The sequence below is a fragment of the Homo sapiens genome, chromosome 6, assembly GCF_000001405.40.
Source record: "Homo sapiens chromosome 6, GRCh38.p14 Primary Assembly".
Lineage (NCBI taxonomy): Eukaryota > Metazoa > Chordata > Mammalia > Primates > Hominidae > Homo > Homo sapiens.
In genome coordinates, this window is record NC_000006.12 from 107,957,470 (window position 1) to 107,964,815 (window position 7,346).

The window sequence follows — 7,346 nt, forward strand, 5'->3', positions numbered from 1 at the left end:
GATGAGGGCCGCGAACTGGACGGACTGAGAGTTGTGCCCGCACGTTCAGTCTCTTCTTGGCCAACTCTTTGCTCACCTCCCAAGTCCCCATCCCGCTTCCTCCATAAAGAAAAATCCCCAATAAAAGCAAAGGCAGAGAAGACAAAGAGGCAGGAGGAGGCTGCAAGGAGCGTCCACAACAATGGAGAAGATGGAGCGAGCGAAACTCCTGAGGACAATGAAGGGAGGTGGAGAAGCGCCGAGGGAAACGCTGCTGACCCGGGCCCCGCCAGTGGCGGACGCTGGACACAGGCCGGGCCGCACCGTCCCTGTCATCCCGGACGCCGCGGGCTGGGGCCGGGCAAGCGGGCGCCGCAGGGCCTGGGGGCGCTGGCGGGGCCTGCGCGGGTTCGCGGGCAAAGGCCGGCGGGACTCACCGGCATTCTGATCTCGGGGCCAGAGGTAGTATGTCGCCGGGATCACGATGAGCCCCACGAAGGAGGTGAGGAAGTAGAAGAAGGTGTTCCCACTGTCATCGTACTGGAACTGCTGCCCGGCCATGGCACCCCCTCCTCCGCCTCGCTCTTCTCACCGCCGCCGCCACGACCACGCTCTGCACTCCCGCTCCCAACGCCCCGGCCCGAGTGGCGTAGCTTGGACACTGCCGCCGCCGCCTCTCCTCCCCGCCCCCACGCCACTCTCACGGACACGCCGCCGCCACCTCTGCCGCTGCCGCCGCCGTCGCCAGCTCTCGCGAGAGGAGATAGTTCCCGCCCCGCTCAGTTTTCCCTCCCCCTGCGTGTCCCCAGCGAGCTCGCTAAGGGAGACGTGGCGAGCGCAACGGTGGAACTCGGCGAGGTCTCGCCCTTAGCCCCGCCCTAACGTCAAAGCCCTCCCCCAACCCCTCCCCTAGGGTCCCGCCCCTAACCGCTCCGCCTTCCTCCACCGCTCAGTTTCCCAGCGCACCACGCCGGATTCCGGGCGTCGGCGTACAGGATCCCAGAGAAGGCTTCCCGCCGGAGCAGCGGTCGCGGGCGGTTCACCTGGCTGCGCAGGGGTCCCAGATATTCAGAGAAGAGCTGAGGCTCAGCCTGTCCTGCCCTCTGGATTAATTGCCCTGGTTGATCACGTTTCCTTGGGTTCTGGATCTGCTCCTCCAGCCCCCATATTTTGGAAACAAGTGTCATTTAGAATAGGGGGTGGGAGGCCGGGCACAGTGGCTCACGCCTGTAATCCCAGCACTTTGAGAGGCCGAGGCGGACGGATCATGAGATCAGGAGTTCGAGACCAGCCTGACCAACATGGTGAAACCCACTCTCTACTAAAAATACAAAAATTAGCCGGACGTGGTGGCGCGCGCCTCCATCTCAAAAAAAAAAAAAATTGGGGGATGGGGAGGTGTGGGTTGCGGGAGGTGTGGGTTGCAGTTGTGTTTTCAAAGCAATGTTTACTATCTGGCCGGGCGCAGTGGCTCATGCCTGTAATCCCAGTACTTTGGGAGACCGGGTGGATCATGAGGTCAGGAGTTCCAGACCAGCCTAACCAACATGGTGAAACCGCGTCTCTACTAAAAATACAAAAACTAGCCGGCTGTGGTGGCACGCGCCTGTAATCCCAGCTACTCAGGAGGCTGAGGCAGGAGAATCGCTTGAACCCGGGAGGCGGAGGTTGCAGTGAGACCGGATCGCTCTCCACTGGGCGACAGATTTGAATCTACGCTGTGCCCATCTTGCAGATGAAGATTTCCCCAAGCCGTTACAGATGGTTCCCTACCCATTCCAGAGCTGCTAATTATAACCACCAGCTTCAGGCGGTAGGCTGAGACCTTTATTGTTTTGTGTCATTTAGTCATCAGTAAACCCCATGGAATAAAGCAAAGTATGTCTGCTCTACAAATGAGAAAATTGAGGCCCAGAGAGACTGCCCAAGGTCCCTCACAGTAAAAGAATGTCTGAGGATTCAAACCCATATCATTTTGATGCCACAAAGCCAGTGTGCCCTTGACCCTCCATCGCCCAGGACCTTAAAATTTCCTGACAGTGACTGGCATTCTCCCTGCGGGTTGTGAACAGGAAACTGCATTTCAGGGATGGACGGTGGCGGGAGCAGTCGCTCTCGGGAGCCTCTCCTTCCCCTGGCTGTGGGACCCTAGAGGCTGGTGTCCGCTGAGCTGGAAACTGGACTTCTGCCCAGATCTTTGAACGACCCCACGGTCCAGCGGCAGCTGTGGCTGGGGTCTATCCCAGAGTCCATTGCCCCTCTCTGGGTTAAAAGGATAGCCCACCTGGTTGCAGAGATTGAAAGGACTAATTGTGAAAATGCTTTTCAAAGGAGAAAGTGTAATATGCAAATACCAAATATTACACTATATTTCAAGGACTCATTTTAATACTTTATACTCTGTTAACTAAATGCATTATAATATTCCTTCCATTGTTGGAGGAAAAATCTGGTTGCTCATTGTCTTTCATTTCATGTCTTCAAAACTAGTATCTTAATCAGTAATGCTTTCCTTCATAATAGATTGTGTTCATATGTATTCTCTCTTCCCTTCAAATTTCCTATCTACTCACTTTGAAAGGAAATTTCTGAAATTCATTTCTATGCATTTCCCTCCTCACTTTTTTTCTGCACAAAGTTCAAAACTATATTATAGGTGAAAAAATAAAACCAAGAAATGAAGGGAAGGTTGAACTATGAAATCAACATAGCATTGTGATCTCCCAACGCTGATATACCCAGAGTGAACAATTTGCCTTGCTACAGAAAATTAGTCACAGACTTGTTGCAGCTGAAGTGAGCAGGATCATGAAGTTCCTTTTGTTTGTTGAATATGTTATTAAGTCTTCCTCGGTTTTAATAATGTTGAACTGTTTTTTTATTACTCCTATTATGTTTTGCTGGGCATTTGTTTAAAGATAATACATCAGTTTTGTAACCTTGTAGCAATATAAGTTATTGATGATAAATACTCCCCTTCTTTCTTTCTGCAGGAATAATATTTTCACTGCAGCTTTGGGGTCATGCCTAAAAGTGGCTTGAACCAAATTGAAATAGCAATTTGAAAAAACCCCAGATCAATCTAAAATGTTATTTTTTTAACCAAAGCATGTTCAAGATTTGAAAATGTATCCTCTATTTTCAAAAGTATACATATAATTTATCCTAGAACTTAATATTACTGAACATAGATAACCTCAGACCACCCAAATATTCTCCAAAGCAAATCTTAATCATACCTTTAATTAATTTAATCGCAATTTCTGATTCACTTTTTTTTTTTTTTTTGAGACAGGGTCTCATTCTGTTGCCCAGGCTGCAGTGCAGTGGTGCATTCTTGGCTCACTGCAGCCTCTGCCTCCAGGTTCAAGTGATTCTCATGCCTCAGCCTCCCGAGTAGCTGGGACTACAGGCGTGCACCACCACACCCGGCTAAGTTTTGCATTTTTAGTAGAGACAGGGTTTCACCAAGTTGGCCAGGCTGGTCTCGAACTCCTGACCTCAGGTGATCCGCCCACCTCAGCCTCCCAAAGTGCTGGGATTACAGGCATTAGCCACCATGCCCAGCAGATATTTTTAACCTAATAAAATTGTTTCAAGAAATTATTTTAGTGAGATATTTAATAAAAGTAAATTAATATGGCTGGGTGCCATGGATCACATTGAAGACCAACCTGGCCAACATGGTGAAACCCTATCTCTACTAAAAATACAAAAATTAGCCGGGCATGGTGGTGGTGCCTGTAAGCCTAGCTACTCGGGAGGCTGAGGCAGGAGAATCACTTGAACCCAGGAGGCAGAGGTTGCAATGAGCCGAGATCATGCCACTGCACTCTAGCCTGGCCAACAGAGCAAGACTCCATCTCAAAAAAAAGAAAAATATGGAAGAAGCAAAGCTACAGACAAAACTTGTCTTTAGTCTAACAGCATATATTAAAAGGCATTTAGGCCTGTAATCCCAGGACTTTGGGAAGCCAAGGCAGGCAGATCACTTGAGGCCAGGAGTAAAAGACCAGCCTGACCAACATGGTGAAACCCGGTCTCTACTAAAAATACAAAAATTAGCTGGGTGTGGTGGCAGGCGCCTGTAATCCCAGCTACTCAGAAGGCTGAGACAGGAGAATCACTTGAACCCAGGAGGTGAAGGTTGCAGTGAGCTAAGATCGTGCCATTGCACTCCAGCCTGGGTGACACAGCAAGACCATGTCTCAAAAAAAAAAAAAAAAAAAAAGGCATTGGGCATTTTAGTATTTATGTCTGTAATTGAATATTTTAATCAATTTTGTTTTAATTGCTAGATAGACATTTTCCCTGTAGAAAGCCTGACTATTTTGGGGTTCCTTTTCATACTTTGCTTTTTCCTTAGAGTGAATCTTTCCTTCTTTGTAAGTCATCCTTTTTTTTTTAGACAGAGTATCCCTCTGTAGCCCAGGCTGGAGTGCAGTGGCGCAATCTTGGCTCACTGCAACCTCGCCTCCCCGGTTCAAGCAATTCTTCTGCCTCGGCCTCCCAAGTAGCTGGGACTACAAGCATGCACCACCACACGTGGCTAATTTTTTTTTTTTTTTTTTTTGAGACGGAGTTTTGCTCTTGTTGCCCAGGCTGGAGTGCAATGGCACGATCTTGGCTCACTGCAACCTCCACCTCCCGGGTTCAAGCAATTCTCCTGCCTCAGCCTCCCAAGTTGCTGGGATTACAGGTGCCTGCTACCACGCCCAGCTAGTTTTTTGTATTTTTAGCAGAGAAAGGGTTTCACCATGCTGGCCAGGCTGGTCTCGAACTCCTGACCTCAAGTGATCCATCCGCCTCAGCCTCCCAAAGTGCTTGGATTACAGGCACGAGCCATCACTCCTAGCCAGTTATCCTTATACTACATTTTTGACTTAAATTTATACATACCAAAGTATATTTCTGTAGCCATAATCAACATTATTTAATTATCTACTTGTGGAGTTAGCTGCAAAGAAACTGGAAGGAACCAAATTATGATTAAATAAGGGCACACAGTTACTTCCAGTCTTCTTCCCTTTCCCCCATGCTACAGTAGAACATAACCTTTACTGCCAAAGCCTAGAAAATTATCTTTAATGTTAAACCCGAGTTTTAATGTTATCTTTAATGTTATACCAGAGATTTTTTTCATTAAGAGGCTAAATCTCTTCTGATACAAAGTAACCAATCCTGCTTATGACAACAGTAACATCAACAAAGTAATGTTTGTACAACACTTATGATTTACAAAAATCTTCCAAAACATTATTCCAATTGAAATTTCAAATCATGACCCTATGTTGGAACTTTGACTAGGTAAAAGGTATTAAATCATTGCAATCCTTTTATTTCCTGACCCACTAAGGCCCTTCAGACCCAACAAAACCACAATCTCCTATCTGGAGAGAATGTAAAGAGAGGTATGAGTTGGAAAAACAGCAAAACTAGTTTAAGGTCAACCATGAAAACAATCCTAAAAGAGGAATTGAGGGCTGTGGTTTTCCTTTGGTATTGGAAGCAGGTTTGTATTTTGACTTCTTTCTTTTTATGAGTATGTTGGACTTGTTAATTTTGTGGGGTTTTTGTTTGTTTTGTTTGTTGTTTGTTGTGGGGTTTTTTGGTAGAGTGCCTCGCTGTGTTGCCCACGCTGGTCTTGAATTCTTGTACTCAAGCCATCCTCCTGCCTTGGCCTCCCAATTTGCTGGGATTGCAGGCACAAGCACTGTACCCAACCTATTGTTCTTTTTCTATCCCTGCTTTTGTGATTATAAAGCTGAGAATTTTTTGCACTAAAGCCAGTTGTCAGAGATACATCAACAAACTCAGGTCATTCCTTTATGAATTAATTGTATACATTACCAGTTGCTATAGTTTGAATGTGTCCCCTCCAAAATTCAGGTGTTGAAACTTAATTGCCAATGTCATAGTATTCAAAGGTGGGGCCTTTAAGAGATGATTAGGCCATGAGGCTCCTCCCTCATAAATGGGATTAAGGTCCTTATAAAAGAAACTTCATGAAGTGTTAGTGTTTGAGTGTCTTGCCCTTCTCCTCCTGCCATGAAGATACAGCAGTCCTCCCTTCTGGAAGATGCAGCAACAAGGCACCATCTTGAAAACAGAGTCCATGCCCATCACTAGACACTGAACCTGCCAGTGCCTTGGTCTTGGACTTCCCAGCCTCCAGAACTGTGAGAAATACATTTTGGTTCTTTATAAATTATTCGGTGTCCAGTATTTTGGTATAGCAGCACAGACAGACTAAGACGCCTACATATGTAAAGTGCTTTAATGAAAAAATAATGATTGACACTACACGTTATGCCATAAAATAGCACTTACTGAAATTTCCCACCCAGATCAAAATATAACTTGGGAGATTGGTCATAAATAAATAGAAGAATTCACTCTGGGAAATTTCAAAGGTATATATTTGAGTAAGAAGAAAGAAAACTCTCAGGATTAAAACAAGCTTCAGGGAAGATATCAATTATCTTGTGTCAATCATTTTGTTGAAAAACAAATACTGTGGGTCTTAAAGCTTATAAAATTAGAAGTCTCTGGCCCGGTGCGATGGCTCAGGCCTGTAATCCCAGCACTTTGGGAGGCCGAGGCGGGTGGATCACGAGGTCAGGAGATCGAGACCATCCTGGCTAACACGGTGAAACCCCTTCTCTACTAAAAATACAAAAAAAATTAGCCGGGCGTGGTGGCGGGCACCTATAGTCACAGCTACTCAGGAGGCCGAGGCAGGAGAATGGTGTGAACCTGGAACGCAGAACTTGCAGTGAGCTGAGATAGCACCACCGCAGTCTGGCCTGCACCAAAGCACGAGACTCCGTCTCAAAAAAAAAAAAAAAAAAAAAAAAAAGCCACTTCATAGTCAGAGCAGTGGCATGAGCAGTGGCATGGACTGCTTGACTGACTATACTTATGGTTATTTCTTGATTATATGCTAAACAAAGTGTGGCTTATTCAGAGTTTTTTGGGATTGGGGTGGGGAGTTCCTAGAACTGAAGGTTCCTCCCCTTTTTAGACCATATAGAGTAACGTCCTGACATTGCCATTTCATTTGTAAATGGTCATGGCACAGGTGGGAGTGTCTTAGCATGCTAATGTATTATAATTAGCATATAATGAGTAGTGAGGACAACCGTAGGTCACTTTCATTGCCATCTTGGTTTTGTTGGGTTTGGCAGGCTTCTTTACCGCTCCTGTTTTATTATAGGGGTCTTTATCACCTGTATCTTGTCGACCTATCGCATCCCATGACTAAGAATGCCTCATCTCCTAGGAATGCAGCCCAGCAGGTCTCAGCCTCATTTTACTCAGCCCCTGTTCAAGATGGAGTCGCTTTGGTTTGAATGCCTCTGACATAT

The 7,346-nt window shown here is 46.3% G+C and overlaps 1 protein-coding gene across 2 annotated transcripts in view, besides 4 other annotated features; it reads right to left on the reverse strand.

Moving 5' to 3' along the window:
• Positions 1–739, reverse strand: part of SEC63 (SEC63 protein translocation regulator) — a 90,453-nt gene extending 89,714 nt beyond the window's left edge. For both annotated transcript variants that reach the window (XM_047418131.1, NM_007214.5), the window contains exon 1: positions 417–739. Coding sequence is in view for 1 of the 2 variants with exons in the window: in NM_007214.5 (NP_009145.1) it covers positions 417–540 (124 nt within the window). In the remaining variant the exon portion in view is untranslated. The remainder of the gene's footprint in view (positions 1–416) is intronic.
• Positions 178–779: an enhancer, noted in NCBI's record as "H3K27ac hESC enhancer chr6:108278851-108279452 (GRCh37/hg19 assembly coordinates)". NCBI's record gives its function as "activates a minimal SCP1, AML or CMV promoter by ChIP-STARR-seq in primed H9 embryonic stem cells {active_cell/tissue: H9 hESC(primed)}" and the evidence as "EXISTENCE:reporter gene assay evidence [ECO:0000049][PMID:30033119]".
• Positions 178–941: a biological region, named in NCBI's record as "H3K27ac hESC enhancer GRCh37_chr6:108278851-108279452".
• Positions 402–941: a silencer, noted in NCBI's record as "silent region_17445". NCBI's record gives its function as "represses an Ori minimal core promoter by ATAC-STARR-seq in GM12878 lymphoblastoid cells {active_cell/tissue: GM12878}" and the evidence as "EXISTENCE:reporter gene assay evidence [ECO:0000049][PMID:35858748]".
• Positions 1,382–1,982: an enhancer, noted in NCBI's record as "H3K4me1 hESC enhancer chr6:108280055-108280655 (GRCh37/hg19 assembly coordinates)". NCBI's record gives its function as "activates a minimal SCP1, AML or CMV promoter by ChIP-STARR-seq in naive H9 embryonic stem cells {active_cell/tissue: H9 hESC(naive)}" and the evidence as "EXISTENCE:reporter gene assay evidence [ECO:0000049][PMID:30033119]".